Below are 22579 nucleotides of genomic sequence, written 5' to 3' on the forward strand. Positions count from 1 at the left end.
TCTATCAGTGATTTCTGCTAACTTTGTGATATGGTTTGGCTGTGCCCCACCCAAATCTCATCTTGAATTGTAATCCCCACAATCCCAGGTGTCATGGGGCGACCCAGTGGGAAGTGACTGGATCGTGGGGGTGTTTCCCTCATCCTGTTCTCAGGACAGTGAGTGAGTTTTCATGATGTCTGATGGTTTTATAAGCATCTGGCATTTCCCCTACTCATGCTCACTCTCTCCTGCCACCTTGTGAAGAAGGTGCCTGCTTCTGCTTTGCCTTCCACCATGATTGTAAGTTTCCTGAGACCGCCCCAGCCATGCAGAACTATGAGTCAATTAAAGCTCTTTTCTTTAGAAATTATCTTGTCTCTGGTGGTTTTTTTTTTTTTTCAGAATGGACTAATTAATACACTTTGCATCTGGAGTCATTCTTTCTTCTCTATCTTTACTGTTACCACCAGAGACAAGACCACTGCCATGTTTTACCAAGTCTATAGAATACAGTCTTCATAGGTCTACTCAGTTCTGCTCTTGCTGTTCCACAATCTCTTGCTCACTTCGTCCCATGACTGACCTTCCCAAATGTAGATTGGGCTCATATCATTCCCCATATTAAAGACTTTCAATGTCTTCCTGTTGAACTTAAAATAAAATCAGCCTTTTTAGTAAAGTTGAGAAGGCCTGATGTGGCCTTGCTCTGCTCCTGTTTCTACACCTTCATTTTATATTATTCTCTCTCTTGCTCACTATTCACTATACTTCAGCATAATGAACTTCTTTCAGCCCCTTGGTCACATCAAGCTCTTCTGCATTTTAGAACATCTGACTGAAATCACGTTTGTTCTGTTTCTTCCATGACTAGATCTTTCTGTTTGTCAGTCTTTTTACTTTGGTGTTATTTCAACCTTCTGGTTTTTTGTTTGTTGCATGTACTCCAACAGTTAATTAACTTAATTATTTTTGCGTTTACACATTTGTTTTGTCTCTTGTATGTCTGTGTGCTCTTTGAGGTCATAGTCTCATCAGTCTTTCTCACTCACAGGTATTAAGATTGTAATATACTCTCTGACACATAGTAACTGCTTAATAAACATTCAATATGCAAATAGTCATGGTTAAGCCCTGTTTCTAATACTTCTGATGACGACCGTATCCCTGCTTACTTTAGAACTGCTCCTCCAAACATGCCCTGATTCTACATGACTATCCAGCCATAGATTAAATTGGCACACAAATGAATTAGGTTCACATCACTCAGGAACTTTGAATTTCTAGCCATTTCCCTCTAAATTAACTGCTAAACAGTTTTTTTTTTTGCCCTGAATCTAAAGAATTATTGTTGCCAGCATCTTAGGTATTGAAATATATTAGTTAGCAAACACAAAATTATGAACACAACTGGTTTTATAATTTCCCAAGCAAGTCATGCATGCCTTGAGAACTTTTGAGATTTTATTGAAGATGACTTTTCCTAGTCATGAGCATCATTCTGTTTTCCCACCTCACATCTCCGTCTAGAAGAGTTAATCACAAGAAGTTCGCAGGTGGAATTGCATGGAAACATCAGAATAAGCTATTTAGTTGAAGAAAAACTAAATATCTGACTACAGTTATTAGCTCCAAAGTATATCTGACCCAATGGCATTCAATAGCATGTATCTCACACTGTATTGCATAAAGGCTTGACTCCAATTCAGGAGTTTAAACTTTGCTCACTGTACATTTGCTTTTCAGTAATGTTAATTAGCTAATTTGTGAGACACTAGCTATAATTAGCATGGTGCTTTGATATTTTATTTCTAACAACAGGAAGATGATTACCTTAAAAAATAATAAAAGATTTAAATCTAAGTAAGGATCTAAATTACAGTCGTTGAGTTGTGGAGAAAAGTGAATTCAGTTAATCCCCATTTGCATGTGCCAATTAGTTAAGTATTAATCAATTTCCTATATAAATGGAAATGAGAATACCAGCATTCTTTGGTAAGATAATGTTTCTCATTAACACAAACACAACCTCCTGGCATTTCATAAAAAAAAAAAAAACTTCCACTTTTCATTTTTCTTCTTCAGAATATCTGTTGATTTATTTTCCATTGTGATAGAATCTGTGCATCTTAACACATTTGTAGACGTCTTTTCAGAATTTATCTTAGAATTTTAGAATAAAAAATAGCAAAATTGAGCAGAATTTATAGTATGCATTAATTATTTTTCTTTATTTAAAAAAGTTTTAAATGTCAAAACTCAATTGATATTTTAAGGTATAGAAAAGTAAGTAAGGAGCAGCTGAAAAATTTCAGATGAGCCATAGCTCATCTGTGTATCTATCTATCTTCAGTGTATCTGTGATAGAGACAGGAGACAGCCAAGGATCCCCGGTGAAACCCCGCCTTAAAGCCTAAAATAGCCTGAAGGCTGAAAAACCGGACTGCTGGTCCCGGGATGAAGCTGGCCCTTTTCCCACTGATTCTCTCTGAATAATGCCCACCTGCGCACTGGGAGGACGGGGTGGAGCCTTGGGAAGTTCCGGGCGTTTGCAATGGGAAGGAGCCTGGCCTGGTCAGTTCCTGGGTGGTGACCTGGGAATCAAACCGTGAGGCGGGAGTCCTGCAGCGGGACTCTGTCTGGCTTTGCTGAGAGTCCCTCTTTCCTTTCTTCCTTTCACCCAATAAACCCTGCCCTACCCACCATACAATGTGTCCACGTGCCTAGATTTTCCTGGTCATATGACAAGAATCTGTTTTTTTCTACGTCTGTCTATTTATCTATCTATCTATCATCTTTCGTCTCTATAGCTAACCAAATGTGTAGTATGCACGTGTACATATGTTTAAAATACAGTACCTATATTTAAAACAAATATTGCCATTGATCGATACATCAATTAAGTGGGCCATATTTTTGGCATTTGAAAAATCAAAGGCACAGATCTTTCCATGTCATTAGGAAATAAATGAACAATTTTTAAAAAGTACTTTTAACGAACTTTTAGCTTTGTTGCTTAATTTTGTACAATTTAGGGCTGACATAGACATGGAATTCACAGAAGCATGAACATGTCAGCATTCTCTGTCGTTTAGAGTTGGTATTCTGGGGTATATTTGCTCCATGACAGCCTGGCACTGCGTCATCATATTGACATCCCCCCAAAATTCAGTGACAAATTATTACTGTAAGAAGTGAGAAACTAAAATAAAACCAGGTTGGATCTTCAAAATGCAGCTAATGTGGGAAATAGGGTAATATGATGAATAGACTAGGGGTTTGTTTCTCTATTACCTTATTAAAAAGTTTAATTTTAGGTGTTGCTATCAATTGGCCAATAGAATCCCAAATTACACCTTCTTGATTATTAGATTTTTTTCTCTACCACTTTTAAAAGGTAATATCAATTTCCAAAATTTTAATCAAGTCACAAACTTATGAAGATAATGTAAATTATATTAGTCTTAAAATGTTTCCCTGTTTTATTGATTTAATAAAACAAACAAACCAAAACCACCTACAACTTAAGACTTAAAAATAATTAAAGTAATAAAAGTGAAAAGCTTCTCTGCCCACTCCTATTCTTAAAATCTCAACGCCCAGAGGTAACTATAAGTAATATTCTGTGCCTATATTTGAAATTTTTAAAAATTTTATTCAAAAGTATCCACATATATACAAATATAATACACTTTTCAAAAATGGAATTGTGTTGATAAATATGGTTATACCATAATTTGTTCAACTATTTCCTTATTGGTGTATAATTAGTTTTTGTTTTCTTTTCCATTACAAAGGATGCTTTAGTAACATCCTAGGACAAATATTTGTCTCCTAGAGGGCTTCTTTCTTTTTGTTTGTTTGCTTTTTTGTTTATATCACTAAACAGAAGGCTTCGATTCATTTCAGTTGAAGAAAGTCTGTGAGAGGGCCTATTTCCTTGCACCTTTATCATCCCTAAGTTTTGGCATTCTCTCAATTTTTGTCAATCCTACGGTAACGTTATTTTACATGTCTTTAAATACTAATAAGGCAGAATATCTTCCAAATGTTTGCATATTGTCCATTTGCATTTCCTTTTCCTTCAATCTCCTATTTATTTCAGTGTTATGAACCCACACGAGACTGTAATATCAGTAACTCTGTGGTCATTATGAAGCCCCTAAATTCAGAATAAGGTTTGAATGCAGATGGTTTTCCTAATCTTGTGATAAAATAATCAAATGCTCTTAATATTTCTTTTATTTTCCTCTGGTTTCAAGATCTGAACTCTTCCGTTATTTGGCTAGGATATGAAACCAATTGAAACTAAAAAAGAAAATATTTGAAACAACTTTGCATCTGAATTGATAAGAGGGTATACTTTGTGATGGTGCTAATGACATAAACGCCTCTCTTCGGGTTTATTCAGATGACACTTAAGGGCTCACTCAAAGTTCAAAAGCTAGGACTATTTAACTTTTGAACAAGAAGGGAATCACACAAAGTGTAATTTACTACTGAAAATGTTCTGATTGTGGCTGCCTAGTTGGAGGCCAGTCTACACACACACACACACACACGCACACATACATATATGTCTGTATATGTATGTGTTATGCATGTGTCTATATTTATATCTATATCTACTTAAATTTTTTTCTAAAATATGTATCTGTGATTTCAGAAGACCAGTTTGGATTTTGATCAATAAAAATATTTGGTAAAACTTAAATAGTAATTATTTCTGATTGGCATTATTTTAAGAATCTATAAACTTTTTGATAGTATTTTAGAAAGTTGTCAGTAACAAATTCTGCCTTGGAAATAACTTAGACTTCTTAGCTACCATTGTTCTTTTTAAAACGATTTTAAAAAAATGTTTCTAGTAGTTGATATTTTTTTCTAAAACATGATTAATAATGAAAAATCAAAAATTCATTAACAAATTGCTTTAATTCACAGGGCATTTTGTTTATGAAGATGTTATAATTTTAAAATATTAGCAGAATTAATTCTATAATAGCTCTTTGAGAATAGCAAAGGTTAGTAGGGATGTATGGGTAGTCAGCAATGGCCATATACTCTATGTGCCACAGTTGAAAGGTGGCTTTGATTGTATTGCAATATTGTATTAACTTGCACTGCTTTCTTTATATCATATACTGTCAACTCACTGCTCTAGTCATTTAGGTATTTACTGAGGTTTCAATATTTAGACTTTTAAAGTCTTTCATTGTCATAAGCCACTTTATTTAATTCCTTCATCTCAGGAATGGTAATTCTACCACCTCCCTGACATCACAGTGACATGATTAATTCGTTAATGTTTGTAAAGTGCTTTGAGAATGTAAAGCGCTAAATAAGTGTTAAGCACTTTTGAGTATCACAATCAATCAACATAATGTTTTATAGTTCAAAATCTCTTGCTACTTCAAATACAGTAATTCAGTTAATGTGAGAGTTCTTATGAAATTGAAACTTTGTCACAAAATTAACAGAAATTTTGTAAATTATAAATATGTAGCAGGGATCAGGGAGTTATACTGATTTATCTATTTAGTGTTTTAGTTTGTATCCAGCATTAATTTTCATCTTTAACCAAAAACAAGAAAAATTTCTTATTTTAATTTTCTACTTTAATTTTATATATTGTGAATGCTCCTACAATAATGTATTATGTAGTCTCCATAGCTGTCCTGAATTGTGAATACAGCATCTAATTTCCAAAGGTATTGCTGCTATCTTTCAAAGAACATCAGAGGGCTGGAGTTATAATTAATTTATCCTTGTATCTTTACAAAAATCTAATAAATGGCCTTGCATTAATAAAAAAAAGTGGCAAGAATTTTGTAATATAGATTTTAGGTGCTATGAGACAATTTTTGTATCTAGTACAAGTAATCTAAGAACAACTGAAAGAGGCTTGATATAATCCAGATATATTGACTCTAAGACTAGTTGTACTGATAATGAAGGTAAGAAACACAAATTCTTTTTCATTTCTTTAAATTCCGGAGGACATTCATATCTTTGTGCAGAAGTGACACATTAAATCAAGTTTATTCATCCATATTAAATGTAAAAATGAGGGAATGATAACTAGAAAATAATTCCTTGTTATTAAAATAGCAAATAAAGTATTCTTTAAAAGTACCATAAACAGATAACTCAAATACATAAAAATACATTGCAGTCTTTGTTATAGCATGTAATTTCACTTTCTTGGGGAAATGTTTAAAGCACATAATGGACAGAATTAAAGAGCAAACAGAGTTTATGTAGCCTAGACAGCTTTCTCGTGCTTTTGTAGATCTAAGGACATTTTTTCTCTGTGTTGACGTCAATTTTTTCATGAGAATAATCTGAGAATGGCAAAGGATTTAATTAGGTAACTGACTTTGCAAAAACAAACCACATTTAAAGAAAAGTACAGATCCCAGAATCCCCACTCATTCTGGGAATTTATTTTTCTGGGTTCCTGAAGATTGTGTAGAGTAATCTTATAGATGAGAACAGTGAGTTTCAACACATTCCTGTAATTTTGCTGGGGCACAAGACTAAGCTGGTGGGCTGCTCCTTCAAGTGTACTGGTCATCTCGCCACTCTCTGTGGGTGAGGGATTGAGCATAGGTTTGGGAATTAGGCAGACTTGGCTTGGGGCCAACTTCTGTCTTTGCCACATTCTATTTGTGTGACTTTGAGCACATCACTTACCTGCATTTCGGTTTTAGTTTCTTGTACAATGGAGAAGTAAAACCTGCTTTTCTGGGTTGCTGTAAAGATTGCAGATTATGTACCATAAATACACAGTGCAGAGGCTGATATACAGAGCTCCAGACTTGGAGCTCAATAATTGAGGGCTAAATAATATAATTAGCTGGCAGTGCTTTTACACATATTTATCTCAATTAGAAAACGGTGATTATTACCATAGTGTATTATATTAATTATATTAGTATAGTAGCTTACACTAAACAACTCTCTACATTTATTCACTTAATTTCACTACAATGCTAGGCTGGTGCTTTATTTCTATTTTACGAATGGGAAAACTGATACAGAGAGAGATTAATGGATGTGTGTAACACAATCAAGACTCATGAAAATTAATTACCCAACCCAAGGCCACAAAGCTTGTGCCTAGAGACCTGGACCTCTGTCAAGTTGGCTTGTCTTCCCTTTTGCATGTTATGCTACAGCTGTTTGCAGAGATGACTTATTAATTTTACCCTTTAGCAGTGATCCTAAGTATAAGCAAGAGAAATCCCCCCGAAAAGGAAGAGAAAAAAAAAATGAGGGCAGACAAAGAAGAAAGAAATGGATAAGAGTAGAAGAGTTCAAAATGTGGTATGTAGGGGTCCTGAATAACCAACGCCATTGACACATTCTTTTACATTAATTTCAGGAGTTTTTAAAAAAAGCCACACTATTTTGTTACTGTGGTGTAAAATTAATTCCAAAAGAATAATTTTTTTTCTTAGTATGCTATCAGTTAGACAAGATCAGTTTACACAATATCTTCTCTTTGTCACCAACTTTCCTGACTAAAATAAACTCAATATAGTATCTGTAACTGACATAGCACTCATTTGTCACTGGTGAATGCACATAATGTCGTCCACTGTGGCAGTGACTTTATCCATGGTTCCTTGGGGAACCAGAGTATATCACTTACCATGCTTGGTGAGCTCATAAAGCTATTTATAATGTGTAACACAACCATTAATAGGTTAAATATTTATAACCATATTTAATAGCTGTGTATCATTGGTATAATAAAAAACACATATAGAAAGAAAGTGGTTTCTCTTTCAAAGGCAAAACTGATGTCTTGGTTTTTAAATGTACCTGAGAGGGAAATTAGATTAATATTTACACAAATCTCAGGAAAGGTGTCCTACCATTTTTGTAGCATATCCTTAATAGCATTATTACTTATGTGAACACTACATAATTTTTTGGAGTTTTATTTTTCTTTCCATCTTGTGCCTCTCTGTGAAGTTAGTTCATGTGGCATTAGTTTATCTGATACACATCTCAAAGTTAGTCCATATAAAACTGAACACCTGAACCCACCCTTCCACAATGGCTCACCTGAAAATCATCCTTTCCTAGCTGATGGCATGTTCCATTCTTTTTGTTGCTCATGCTACTAACCTCGGAGTCATTCATCCTTCACTTCTGTCTTTCTCTTCTCTCTCTCTGGATGTTATTAGAAACATGTTCTTTAACATAAAATATCTTACAGTTTCAGAAAGTTCACAGATACCTTGAAGCCTAGAAACTTTATGTAATTTAGCTTAAGAACCTCTATCAAATGCCTCTTCCAAGTTTACAATCACAATGTGTTTTAAAGTTTTTATTGTAAAATGATATAAAATAAAATATAATTATTTTCTAGTAAATAAATGATACATTAATAGTTGGTTCTTTTAATCAATAGAAATGTTACCTTAATTGGCACTTCTCATTTTCTTTCCAAGTATTGGTAATAAGAAAGCCTTGTGTGGAAAGTTAGTCATGAAAGCACTTAAGAGTCAGTCAAGGGACTACGGATCTACCTTAACCAATTCTAGAGAACTTGGGTATTCATAGTATGACCAAAGGATGGGGCTTCTGTAGCTCACCAGGTTTTAAAGCTGATTTACAACTGCAATATGAAAAGAGTGTCACTACCATGTATGCAAGAAAAAGATGTGAGAAAGTTAAAAAAAATTCGCACTGGGAATCGTACTTTGGTAGGTTAATCAACAGCAACCAAGAACATTTTTATTATACAATTTGAAATTGCACTATTATCATATAAACTTTGTTGAGTCTGAAAAACCCTTGCTTGAGATTCTTAGTTCTTGACTTTAGAACTATGACAGTCTATCTGTTGCTCAAGAACTATGCTTATTGTTTTAAGTTTTAAGCGATAATAAAGGACCTGGATTTTCTTGATCATGTCTCTTTTCCATTTCTTTCATAATATTATTTCTTAAGGAATTATGTTTTTATTTTAAGGCTTTAATCTTTAATCATTTATAAGTGAGTGATTCAGCTTTTAAATCAATACCCCCAAATTTAAAACAATAACAATTACAGCATTTCAATTGAAATATTGACTATCAACCCTCCGAGAAAGCAGAGGTAAAACTTACTTCCTATGAACAGAACAAATTGAATTTGGACCCTTCTAGGTGTATCTATGTGTTCTTATAGCAAAGTTGGGAAGTTCTAAAGAAATTTTAGTAATAATTAGCATAATTTTGGATTATAACTCACATACTTGGAATTCTAAATTTTAGAATAGTTTATGATTTAAGAGATCAAATACTTTATTTATTTATTTATTTATTTTTGAGACAGAGTCTTGCTCTGTTGCCCAGGCTGAAGTGTAGTGCACAATCATGGTTCACTGCAACCTCAACCTCCTGAGTTCAAGCGCTCCCAGGACCTCAGCCTCCCAAGTAGCTGGGACCACAGGCATGTGCCAATAGATTTTTAAAAGTCTTATTGAGTTAGGAATATCAAAGAAGCTAAAAAAATATGTGTTTGTGGAATTATTTAAAAAATAAGTAGCAAAGTCAGAATTTGAGAAGTTATTAGATACAATATCATTTTATTGTTAAAATGAAAGAAATGTTTTTATTTATTGAAACTAACATTGGTACAAGTTTCTATCATATTATAGTAAACTTTTAGAGTTAGAGGTGATTTTAGAGTTTGCTTCATTATAAATTAAGTACAATAAATATTTAGGAGTACTCAATATTGAGATAAAAAATCCAAAAATATTTTTCATCATTAACTGTGTTAGGAACTATGAAGTATAAGATAAATATATGATGCCATTTTATTGTGGTCATTATCATACAACATACAGCAAGAGGAATAAACCTTTTGCTATTGCTCTCTTTTTCCACACCACTGGCAGTCACTACTAACTGAAACCTACATATATATGCTAAAACCTGGGAGTGGTTTCATAATACTTTGAATACATTCCTTAAAATTATCACTTTCACTTGATCTGAGTTGGCTAATAGGTGGAACTTACCATTCTATATCCATAGTACAACATACGTGTCATAGCTTATGATCTTGTCTGGCTAAGAATTATATCCTTTTTGTTGGAAAGATTTGAAAAGTGTATTGTACAACTTTTTCTCTGGGATCGTCCAATGCACTGCTGCTAAGCACTTCAGCTTTCTCCTTAAACCGGCCCATGGCTCTTGAATAAATACAATAATACATCTTTCATATTTATAGGGAGTACATGGTATAACATACCTAACAACTTTCAGGAAACCTAATAAATTATCACCAATTATAAAATTCTGAGTATAGAAAGTAATTCGTTTAGAAAAGAACACCAAATAACATTATTTCAAAAAATTAAGGGGCTAAGGGCATATTTAGATATACCTTTGGTACCCAATATAGCAGCCTATGATAATAATGACATATTTTTTCCTTATTATTACTGATGTAATATAAAAGTCTCCTGCAAAGATCAATATGACATTTGAAAAAAAGAATCCAAGAATAAAAGCATGCATATATTTAGTGTAATATTCTTTGCTTTCCTTAACTTGGAGCATAAAAGCTTTTTAGTAACTGATGTAAAATTCTTAAAATAGACTGCATTATCTTCAACCATATTATCTATTCCCATAGGTCATACAATGACAAAGTTTCCACCAGAATACCAGGAAATATACAAAAGGAGTCAGTACATGGTATTGTTTTCTTCATGTCTTTTGGGAGAGATGCTAAATTTGATTCTGATTTTTAATGTAACAATAAAAAAGATAAAGATATATTTCAGTTTTTAAAAGCATCATAAGTTAGGGTATACTATATTAAGTTTTCTCTGATTTCTAATGCCATATAAAAATGTGAAAGCTCAGATGTTACATTGCTACTAATATTCATTCATTATTAAACCGTTATTTTCTAGATCCTAATTGTTCTAGATTACAGCAATGAAAACAAAAGCAAAACACATTTCTTTCTGTGGTAGGCAGCCTCTAAAATGGTCCCCAACGGTCTCTGCCTTTTGGTACTTACATCCTTGTATAATACCCTCCCCCGAGTGTTTGCTGAACCTAATGATTCACTTCTAATGACTATAATACAGGAAAAGAAATGCGATGCCATTCCAAGATTAGGTTATGAAAAGACTGCCTTGCTCAAGCTTTCTCCTGCCCTCCTTCTCTCCAGGAGTCCTCACTCTGAAGAAAACAACTTATCTGGCATATTGTGAGCTGCCTATGGAGAGGTCCATGTGTCAAGGAACTGATATCTCTAATCAACATCCAGTGAGAACCTGGTGCATGCCAATGGCCATCTGAGGGAACATGGAAACGTATCTTCTGAGACTTCCCAACTAGATGTATGAATGAGTTTGGAAGTAGATTCTTCCCCAGTTGAGCCTTGGGTTGATTATTGTCTCTGCTAATACCTTGATTGCAAGATACCTTGAGTCAATGGCACCCGGCTAAGCTGAAACCAGACCTGACCCAGAGAAACTGAGATAATAAATGTTTATTGTTTTAAGCTGCCACATTTTGAGGGTAATTTGACACACAGCCATAAATAATGAATACAGTTGCCCTCATTGTTTATATTAAAATGTTCACACCGACCTAAGGAGACATTTTGGAGTACAGGGGGATACAAGAAGAAATGTGAACAGCATGGCAGTTCCTCAAAAAATTAAACATAGAATTAAAATATGATACAAGAATTTCACTTTTGGGTATATATACCTAAAACAATAAAAAAAATCAGGGACTCAGAGGCCGAGCAGCGAGGCCCATCTCCCTGAAATAACAGTAACCTAACCCTGTGGGTCATTATCATGCCCTCTGACCTGGCCAAGAAGAAGGCTGCCAAAAAGAAGGAGTCTGCCAAAGCTCTACAGCAGCCCAGAAAAGGACATGAAGAAAATGGAGACGCTGTCACAGAACCACAGGTGGCAGAAATGAGGCCAATGGCAAAGACACCGCAGAAGTGGATTTGCTGACCAAGGAGCTAGAGGACTTTGAAATGAAGAAAGCTACTGCTCGAGCTGTCACTGGCATCCTGGCCTCCCATCCCTGCAGTACTGACGTTCACATTATCAACCTCTCACTCACCTTTCACGGTCAAGAGCTGCCCAGTGACACCAAACTGGAATTGAACTCAGTCCGTCATTATGGCCTCATTGGCTTAAATGGAACTGAAAATTCCATGCTGCTCTCTGCTGTTGGGAAACATGGAGTGCCCATCCCTGAGCACATCGACATCTACCATCTGACTCGAGAGATGCCCCCTAGTGACAAGACACCCTTGCAGTGCGTGATGGAAGTCGACAGAGAGCCGGCCATGCTGGAGAGGGAGGCAGAGTGACTGGCTCATGAAGATGTGGAGTGTGAGAAGCTCGTGGAACTCTATGAGCACCTGGAGGAGCTGGATGCCGATAAGGCAGAGATGAGGGCCTCACAGATCTTGCACAGACTGGGTTTCATACCTGCCATGCAGTGCAAGAAGCTAAAAGACTTCAGTGGGGGCTGTAGGATGAGGGTTCCCCTTGCCAGAGCCCTCTTTATTCGGCCCTTCATGCTCCTCCTGGATGAGCCCACCAACCACCCAGACCTAGATGCTTGCATGTGGTTGGAAGAAGAACTAAAAACTTTTCAGCATATCTTAGTCCTTGCCTCGCATTCCCAGGGTTTTCTGAATGGTGTCTGTACCAACATCATTCACATGCACAACAAGAAACTGAAGTATTTTATGGGTAATTATGATCAGTATGTGAAGATGTGGCTAGAGCTGGAGGAGAGAACCAGATGAAGAGGTTTCACTGGGAGCAAGATCAGATTGCACACATGAAGAACTACATTGCGAGGTTTGGTCATGGCAGTGCCAAGCTGGCCTGGCAGGCCCAGAGCAAGGAGAAGATGCTACAGAAAATGATGTCATCAGGACTGACAGAGAGGGTCGTGAGTGACAAGACACTGTCATTTTATTTCCCACCATGTGGCAAGAACCCTCCACCTGTCATTATGGTGCAAAATGTGAGCTTCAAGTATACAAAAGATGGGCTTTGCATCTGCAATGATCTAGAATTTGGAATTGACCTTGACACACGAGTGGCTCTGGTAGGGCCCCATGGAGCAAGAAAGTCAACTCTTCTGAAGCTGTTAACTAGAGAGCTACTACCCCCAGATGGCATGATCTGAAAACACTCTCATGTCAAGATAGGGCATTACCATCAGCATTTACAAGAGCAGCTGGACTTAGATCTCTTGACTTTGGAGTACATGAAGTGCTACCCAGAGATCAAGGAAAAGGAATAAATGAGGAAGATCATTGGGCCATATGGTCTCACTGGGAAACAACAGGTGAGCCCAATCCAGAACTTGTCAGATGGGCAGAAGTGCCAAGTGTGTCTGGCCTGGCTGGCCTGGCAGAACCCCCACATGCTCTTCCTGGATGAGCCCACCAATCACCTGGATATTGAGACCATCAACGCCCTGGCAGATGCCATCAATGGGTTTCAGGGTAGTATGATGCTGGTCAGCCATGACTTCAGACTCATTCAGCAGGTTGCACAGGAAATTTGGGTGTGTGAGAAGCAGACAATCACCAAGTGGCCTGGAGACATCCTGGCTTACAAGTTGCACCTCAAGTCCAAGCTGGTGGATGAGGAGCCCCAACTCACCAAGAGGACCCACAGCGTGTGAGACCTCTACCCGGGCTCGCATCAGGATCTCCATCTGGGAACTAACAGCTGCTACCCTGACCAGCTGCTCAGGACTGGACCCTAGGGCTATGCATCCTGCATTGCTGCAATATCGCCCCTCCAGCCTCTCCCCTGCCCCTCAACCTGCCTTAGTTGCACTTTCTTACCTACAGCTGGACAGTACTTGTCCATTTCCTGTCCTCCTTCCAGTTACGTCTGTCCATGTCTGGACTCGGCTGGCCGTTCCCTCCAGCCCCTTGCTGGTTACCTTACTCTGAATGTGATGCAGTCAGAGGCACCTGCGGGTTAGCCCAAGGCCCCAAGCCCTAGATTTGGCCCGGGGAGGAGCTTAGGATCCTCGTTTTCTGGGTTTTGGTGATGTGGGAGGAATACCCCCCAGTCCACTGCCCCATTCCTTTTTGCTTCTGGTTTGGAGCTCTGGACAAGGACTTTCGTACTGGTCAGTTTTTAAATAATTATTTAACAGTGTAACTTTTATACCTGCATGACAGCTACAAAGTGCCCAATAAAGAAAGAGGAAGCCATGGTCCCTAAAAAAGAAAAAAAAATCAGGGACTCCAACAGATATAGGTATAGTTATAATTTATAGCAGCATTATTCATAATAGCTAAAACCTGGAAACAACCCAAGTGCCCATAGATGGATAAATGGATAAACAAAATGTGGGTTGTGCATACAATAAAATATTATTCAACCTTAAGGAGAAAGAAAATTCTGGTATATATTACAACACGGATGAGACTTGATGACATTCTGCTAAGTGAATTAATCATATAAATGCTGTATGATTTCACTTATATGAGGTACCTAGAGTTGTGAACTTCAGAGAAACAGAAAGTCAGATGGTATTTGCCATGGGTTTGGAAAAGAGGGTAATGGGGAATTATTGTTTCACAGGTATGGAGTTTCAGTTGGGAAGATAAAAAGAATCCTGCAGGTAGCAGTGGTGGTTGCACAATGTGAATGTACTTAATGTCACTGAACTGTACACTTACAAATGGTTAAAATGGTCAATTTTATGTTATTAATACATATATATATATACACATATATATGTAAAATATATATATTTATATATTAGGCTGAGTGTTGTTGTTGCCCAGGCTGGAGTGCAGTGGTGCTGTCTCAGCTCACTGCAACCTCCGCTTCCTGGGTTCAAGCGATTCTCCTGCCACAGCTTCCCAAGTAGCTGGGATTTTAGGTGTGCACCACGACATCTGGCTAATTTTTTTTTGTCTTTTTAGTAGAGACAGGGTTTTGCCATGTTAACCGGGCTGGTCTCGAAGTCTTGACCTCAAGTGATCTGCCCGCCTTGGCCTCCCAAACTGCTGGGATTACAGGAGTGAGCCACAGCATCTGGCCACATGTATTTTATCACAGTAAAAAAGAAAGTATGTATATACAGGAAAAGAAAGAACTGATGTAAAGGAGCATATTTACCATACTCCCACACTTTCCCTAAGCTCAGACAATTGAGGGTTAACTGAGTAAATGTCAAAGTTTGGTGAATCACAATCACAAGAGTAGTCAAGGTGCGAGGTCTATGCTCTTGGTAGTGAAGGGAGGCATTGGTGGTGCTTCTGCACCCCACAGAGAATCAAGAAGGGTCAGAGTTGCTTAAATGCACAAAATAATAAAATCACATTCAGCAGAAAGAGACATAGAAAGCAAAGGGAACAGAGCTTCCAAGCCAATGTGGATGTTACAGATAATCAGGCAAGACAAGGTAATAGAGAACTACAGAATGTGTTGTCTGGGAAATGTGGCATAGCCTTGATTGGTCACTGATGTGGTGGTGATGTGTAAGCCCAGAGATTATTTAGAAATTGCCCTGGTCCACATAATTGGAGGAGCTTATGTGAGCGGGGTGTTTAGGGTTAGGCTGTTCATGGCGCTTCACACAAAGCTGAATCTATTCTACCATCCAGCTAGTCAAGAGACAGAATGAGAGGTGAGGATCTAGGGCCAGACTGAGAAAATACATTCAGGCAGAGAACACGTGGATACAGACTTCTGAGAAAATGTATAAGACCTTTGTTTTTACACCTACAGGTAAGATTTAGAGGACAAAGGTAACCAAAAGTGTACCAGGCTGTCAGATGAAGCCTCCCTGCTGAGTCCTCCTGCATGGAGAACTAGAATATGAATCTGCCTTGTTGGATCACACAGGAGGCTTGGGGATACCATATCACTCTCTAAGTCTAGGGATGAAAGTCTCTAAGTCCTAGTGTCACTTTTTCAGACTCTAGGTTTTTTGATTTCTTCAACATCTGAATAAAGTGTGAAGAGGACTTAATACAATTGAAAGGTTATATTATGACTTATTTCTCAGGGTTTTTGGTTCCAAGAGTTGCCTTACTCAGTGGTGGTGAATGCATAGCCAGGTGATGATAGAGTCTAGGAAGAGGCTTCTAACACAGTGCTCACCAGTGGCTCAGTGAAGGCTCAGGGTCACATGAAAACACAGTATTACACTGTTCTGAGGGGTAACAAAGAAGAAAAAAAGCTAAGGGGGAGATCACAGTGGATATGGGACCAAAGGCAGGAGAAGCGTTGTGCCCTCTCTATCAATGACCTGCTTCCTTTTATCATTTACCCTTCACATTTGAGTGTTATTTATATCTTTGACTACTGACATTTCAATTATTAATAAATGTTTGGTTTAGATCATATCAGCTTAATTGTGAAGTGAGGTAGATCATAAACTTGCTATCTTCATTCTTTTAGTATTATTGGGTTATACAGGACACTGCAGTTGATCACAAGGATACACAGATGATTCATTTTCCACTCTTTTTTTTCCCTTCAGCGGTCTGAAATTAAGTGACAGGAAATAAACATTTGTCTTGCAACATGATCTGTGGAATAACAGAGGTCTGGCAAGGATGCAGAGAAGAGGGAGTGCTTGTGAGGGCTAGAAGCCTTCCTAGGAAAGGTAGATGTCTTGAATAGTTCTACTCTGTGGAGACGCAGGAAAATGTGAGAGGGCCTGAAGCAGCCAGGCAGATGTTTTAAAACTGCTGCAGCCCTGGCTATGGATAGGAGAGGGAGGTACAGCCTAACCCTCCTGGGGTCTGTAATTCGGGCTGTGACTCCCTATAGACAGTGGGGCACTAGCGATAGAAATGAGATGATCAAATTTATGTATTTTTTGGAGTTGAAAATCATAAAAAGGAATTGTTTAAGGAAAGTTATGAATGATATTAATTTCATGAATTACATGAACCTGCTTCCTCCACTTTCTCTCTCTCCCTCCACATTTTGTGAGGTCAACAGTGATTACACAGATGGAGACAATTCTCTCCCACCTCACTCCCTATCCACCCCAACACTAACTTGGGGAGATAATAGAAGATCATGGTGGAATTAGAATTAAAGAGTTTAACTGAAACAATGAATTTATTTGTAAACATTTATTTATTTACTGTCAATATAATATTATTTTAAAATTATTTTGGTGATCTTTTTATCTGAGAGACAAAATTGATCATTGTGGTTCTTATATTTCCAAATCAGAAGAAAGTTAAAAAAATGCATCTTTCCTTCTTTAGAATTTGAAATTCCCTCTCTTTTGTTGTAGTATCTTCTTCCTTCCTCCTAAATATTATACATGTTATTACATTTATTTTTAATTACTTTTGAAATGTTATCAAATTAATGGTGACATGGTGAAAGTTTTATTTATGAAAAGGGTAACCAGAAAACAAATATAAAAATAATATTCATAGATAATGAAAAACAAAGTTTTGCCAGCTTGGATTCCTTTCTTGAGTATACGTATATATATGTATCTATGTCTATGCACCAGTTTGGTTCCATTAAATGTGTACTATCCATTGAATTATTATAAAAATAAATACTTGTATTATGAAATGGAACATGAGACATTACCATGCCATGAGAATTCTGTACTGTAAAAGCAAAAGTAATATAATCACCAAGGTAAAATAGCTTGAAATTTTATAATATCAGGATTGTTTCGTGATGAGCCTGACAAACAGTAGTTACAGCTAAATATTTTGAATGATTTGATAGGGTGTTCTGTTCTTCTTACAGGGGAATTAGTTCCCGAGAATATTGGGTATGGAAGTTTGATGAGAATATTTGAAAAGTCCTCCCTAAGGTCCAGAAAGAAATATTTTGCAATATCAACAAGGAGCAGTAGCAATAGCAAAACAGCAAAAGAAAACAAAACCAAAAATAAGACAAACTAAAATACTAGTCATATGTAAATTACTTTAAGGCTGAGGTCAAAATTATTATTTTTTTCTACAAGATAATGTATTTTTCTTCCTGGAAATTATGAGTTATATAGGAATACTGCTTTCTGTTCCTTTCTATTGTGCACTCATTAGACAACGGGTTTTGGAGTACCATTACATGTCACTATACATAGGTGCCCTTGTAGAGCCAATAGTTGAATAGAGGACACAGACCAGAAAACAGTAAGTTAGAAATGAAATAAGAATGGAAGAGCTTACACTGGATATAGCAATGAGGAAGTTGCCGTGGTAGGAGCTGCTTCTTTAAAGTATTAGTTATTGTGATGGCTTGAAGAAAGAGGGGTGGAGAGATTTTGGAGACAGACTATAGACATTTTCATTAAGTTTTGCTGTGAAGGTTGAAGGTGAATGGGGTGTGATATGGTTTGGTTCTGTATCTACGCCCAGATCTCATCTTGAATTGTAATCCCCACGTGTCGAAGGGGAACCTGGTGGGAGGTGATTGGAACATGGGGATGGTTTCACCCATGCTGTTCTCATGATAGCAAGTGAGTTCTCATGAGAGCTGATGGCTTTCAAAGTGTTTGGCAGTTCTGCCTTCACTCTCTCTCTCTCCTGCCACCTTGTGAAGAAGGTGCCTGCTTCTGCTTCACCTCTACCATGATTGTAAGTTTTTTGAGGTCTCTCCAGTCATGTGGAACTGTGAGTCAAATAAACCTCTTTTGTTTATAAATTTCACAGTATCAGATAGTATCATTATAGCAGTGTCAAAATGGACTAATACAGGGCTTAAGGGTGAAGGGAAGACTTGTACTTCAAGTTCACATACTAAACAGAGGGAATCAGGGGAAAAAGAGGGGTTGAAGATACAGAAGGAACATTCACAATGTACAGTAATATACTTAGGTGTGGAAATAGGTGAAACCCATGGGCTTGTAAGTATAGGAATTATATACAATTTGAACTTCAAGTAAAGAATGGATTGAGCATCCTTTGCAGTTCTATTTGAGGTAAGACTAGTTGAGGCAGAAGGCAGGCTTTTCTCACCATGTTATTTGCTTCTCTACCCAGTTTTCTGTAATGTGGAATTTGGTAAAGCAAAAACAGCTAAGCCAGGGGCCATTTTTATCACAGACTTTAATAAAGGGTATCACAGCTGGTTCTAAAATAATTACTTACAAAAGCAAAAACAATACATTGGGATAAGAACAGTAAGGAGTTCTTAAGAGGCTTCATATACTTCCAATGATTTCAGTGAAATTTTAAAAAGGTGCAATGATACCTTTGTGGATTAATACAATTTTACAATGTTAATCTGTGTATGTTTTTCTATGTTCTATTTTCCTTTTACTTTGGTCTGTTTAGGAGGCATTTTTCCACTGTGGACACCAGACCAGGTATGGACAGAATGCAAAGGAGACTCCAAGTCTGTCTGGATTTTGTTTTCTGAAAGCTGAAGTCTAGAAGAATTTGAAGAAATGATGGAAGAGTTTAAAAAAAAAAGGTGATTCAAGGGTATAGACAAAATATGTTGAACACATTGTACTGTAGAGTGGTGTTTCCCTTCCACACTGGAAAAATTTCCCCATTATTTAGAAGTTTGGGGAAGGAGCTGAGGAAGAAATTTCAAGGTAGTGAGATTTGCAACAATCTGCTCTTTGTATCAATTAGCATTGCTGGAGAGTTTGCAAGATCAAAGGGTAGAATGGCTTGGCAGGAGGGACCAAGAGCAGTGTCAACAAAGATTCCTATGGCCCCTAAGCATGGCTTAGAAGCAGCAGAACTATTAGATCCGGCTGGGTCATGCAGCAGAAACAAGAGATAGCTCAACACAAATCTGTGACCTACCTCCTTAAATGACTTGGTACCAGTTTGTTTCAAAGTCACTAGCTGAGTTTTGCTCAATGCGATCTTACAGTTTCAGAAGGGAGATTTATTTTCACTTTGGTGAGTTTTGAAGGAAGATGAGGGCAAGCTCCACGGAGAGGCATAGACATAAAGAAGTGGAGAATCAAAACCGTATGGAGGCGGCTCTCCCCAAAACTTTGTAAATCTTTAACCAGTACATTTATACTGACAGTTTTTACTTTGGACTCACTTTAATATAGATTTATGATTCACTAGCACAGAAAGTAACCCATACTCAAGATACATGACCAACTTTCTAGGTACTGGCTGCTAAACAGATGAGTCCATGCAGCTTCTTTATAAAGAATTTAAAAACTGAAAAAAAAAAAAAAACACAAACAACCCTGAAAATGTGTGTATGTAGTAAGCTTCAATAAAAATGGGATCAGTATTATTGTTTATTTCAGTGTTAAGGTAAAAGAACCCAGTAATAATAAGTGTTTTTCATATGTTTCTTTGTCATTCTCACAACAAATATATGAGAGAAGAATGATGCTTGAAAGGTATGGAACTTTCTGAGGTAAGGCAACTATTAGGTTGTAGAATTGGGTTTTGAATGCAGTGCAGATTTCTCTCTTTCTTTCTCCTGTGTTCTTTCTCACCCTTGTTTCCACTAGTGATTCTACCTTCTTTCTACAGCGGCAATATTTATTTTAACAAATGTACATAATTTATAGACCATGCTAATTTTTTTTGTCTTTAAAGTAGTAACTTTGTGTGAATATTCCAATAATATTACTTTTTACAAAACAAATTTAGAGCACCCTCAGGATTTGCCTTTAAAGGCAGATTATGAGGCCTGGAAGAAGAGTTTTATTTCATGTTTTCTCACATCATACGTGTCTAAAATTGACAATGAATTGGTTACTGACAATTAGCATAAAGTTTGGTATTGGATAACTAGTGGGTAATTTAAAAACATTCTCAATGGATAAAAGATATCACATCTCCATTGACTTTAGGGAAAAAAGTATGTTAAGAGCTCTTAAGGCTATTTAAGAAAAAGACTTGAAGTGTGATATCATAGCATTTCAGAACTGAAACAGATCTTTGTCCATCTTCCTTTTTCAGCCCAAAGATACTTTCAAGTGGTTTAAAGATAACATACAGATTATTACATTAGAAACACAAAGTTATTCAAGAAAATGTTCACCAAAAATATTTTTTTCTGTTTTTACATATTCGTAAGACATTTAATTCCAAGAAGGAGATTTAATGTCTACCACTAGAGCGAATGAAACAGTGAAGACAGATTTCTACTTAATCCCCCTGAAATAAAGAAAGCTAATTTTTAAGGCTTAATATGACAATGAAGAGTAAGAATTTCACAAAATCCAGGTGGATAAATGATATCGATATTATATCCTTAAAAGTATGTATGTACTTTCCCTAAATGTGTTTTAATTTTATTTAAAAATATAAATAAGGATTTAAATATTCTGGATTTTAATAATTGTTCTTTACTATTATTTTTATGATGTAGAAATATTGCCTGTGTTATAATGTCCTATAACTGAGTTAAAAGCCTGTTTGTATTATCTGTCCAACAGCTTTATAATAAATAGTTCTAAAATTTTGACAGTTGTTCATGGTAAAACTTCAATTTTCTTTTAACTAAAGACTTTTTACTGGATCAGTAAAACTAAAGATTCTTTTATGCCACGTGTAAAAATCTATGTTGTGGGAATAGTATTATTGATTTGCTGTGTAAAATATATTATAACCAAAAATTGCTTTGAACAATAAATGTAAATCTTTTTATTTTCTAAAAATGTATATTAAATCAAATGTTTGAGGCATGAAAATCTAAATTATTATTTTATCCCATGAGATAAATTGTTTTCAAATATCTTCACAACATTTATTATTGCCTAGAATTAAATATATATTTAAAAAGTTAGTTATAAAAATATATTGCTAAATGGTTTATTTAATTAGCCTAACGAAGAAAATATTCTCCAACAAAGGATTCTTTCTTTAAATAGCCCTTTAAATGACACATGGGTTTTTAGTTTTTAATAATACCCTTTTCCCCAAATGTGCAAACTTTCTGAAACAACACTATTTTAAAAGTACATTGATTATAATATTATTTGAGTAGATTGCAGCTTTCTGGGGCCAGAAAATACATCTTATTCATCCTAGTATTTTTAGCTCTTAGTACAATTCCTAGGACTTGGCTTATTTAACCAATCTGTTGAATAAATCAATGAATGATATGTTTTTCCATGTAAAGCATTTTTAGAATATCTGCAGCTTTTAAAATTATTGTATTTTTATTGCTTAAATAGAAACACAGCTTTTGAGTTTCCTAATGCAAGTCCAATTGTTTAAAAATACATCAGCAGTTAAAAAATTAATCAAGAAGTTATTTATTGGCTACTCATATAAAAATGAAATACAAGTTACAATACCTAAAAAATTTATCTACTTGAGGAGATATTGAATAATGACAATGATTAGTAAAGACATACTCATTTAAATTTCTTAAACCCTTGAAACGAGGCATGAAATTTAGGTTTCATGAGGTAAGCAATAAAATCAATTTTAAGTTTTTTTTTTTTTTTTTTTTTTGCTACAGGGTCTTGCTCTATCACCCAGGCTGGAGGGCAGTGCCATGATCATAGCTCACAGCAATCTCCAACTCCCGTGCTCAGGTGATCATCCATTCACCCTCCTGAGTAGCTGGGACTAACTGTTTTCTTGTTTTTGTTTTGTAGGGTCTCACTATGTTGCCCAGGATGTTCACAAA

At 36.2% G+C, this 22579-nt stretch overlaps 1 long non-coding RNA gene and 1 pseudogene across 1 annotated transcript in view; both read left to right on the forward strand.

The window, feature by feature from the left end:
* LOC105377202 (uncharacterized) overlaps positions 1–21191 on the forward strand; it is a 51278-nt gene extending 30087 nt beyond the window's left edge. Inside the window, exons 2-3 of the long non-coding RNA XR_001740804.1 lie at positions 19285–19423; positions 20316–21191. This is a non-coding gene — a long non-coding RNA (uncharacterized LOC105377202). The remainder of the gene's footprint in view (positions 1–19284; positions 19424–20315) is intronic.
* On the forward strand, positions 11745–13675 carry ABCF2P1 (ATP binding cassette subfamily F member 2 pseudogene 1; annotated as a pseudogene).
* Positions 21192–22579: the final 1388 nt, after the last annotated feature.

This window comes from Homo sapiens, chromosome 3 (genome assembly GCF_000001405.40).
Source record: "Homo sapiens chromosome 3, GRCh38.p14 Primary Assembly".
NCBI lineage: Eukaryota > Metazoa > Chordata > Mammalia > Primates > Hominidae > Homo > Homo sapiens.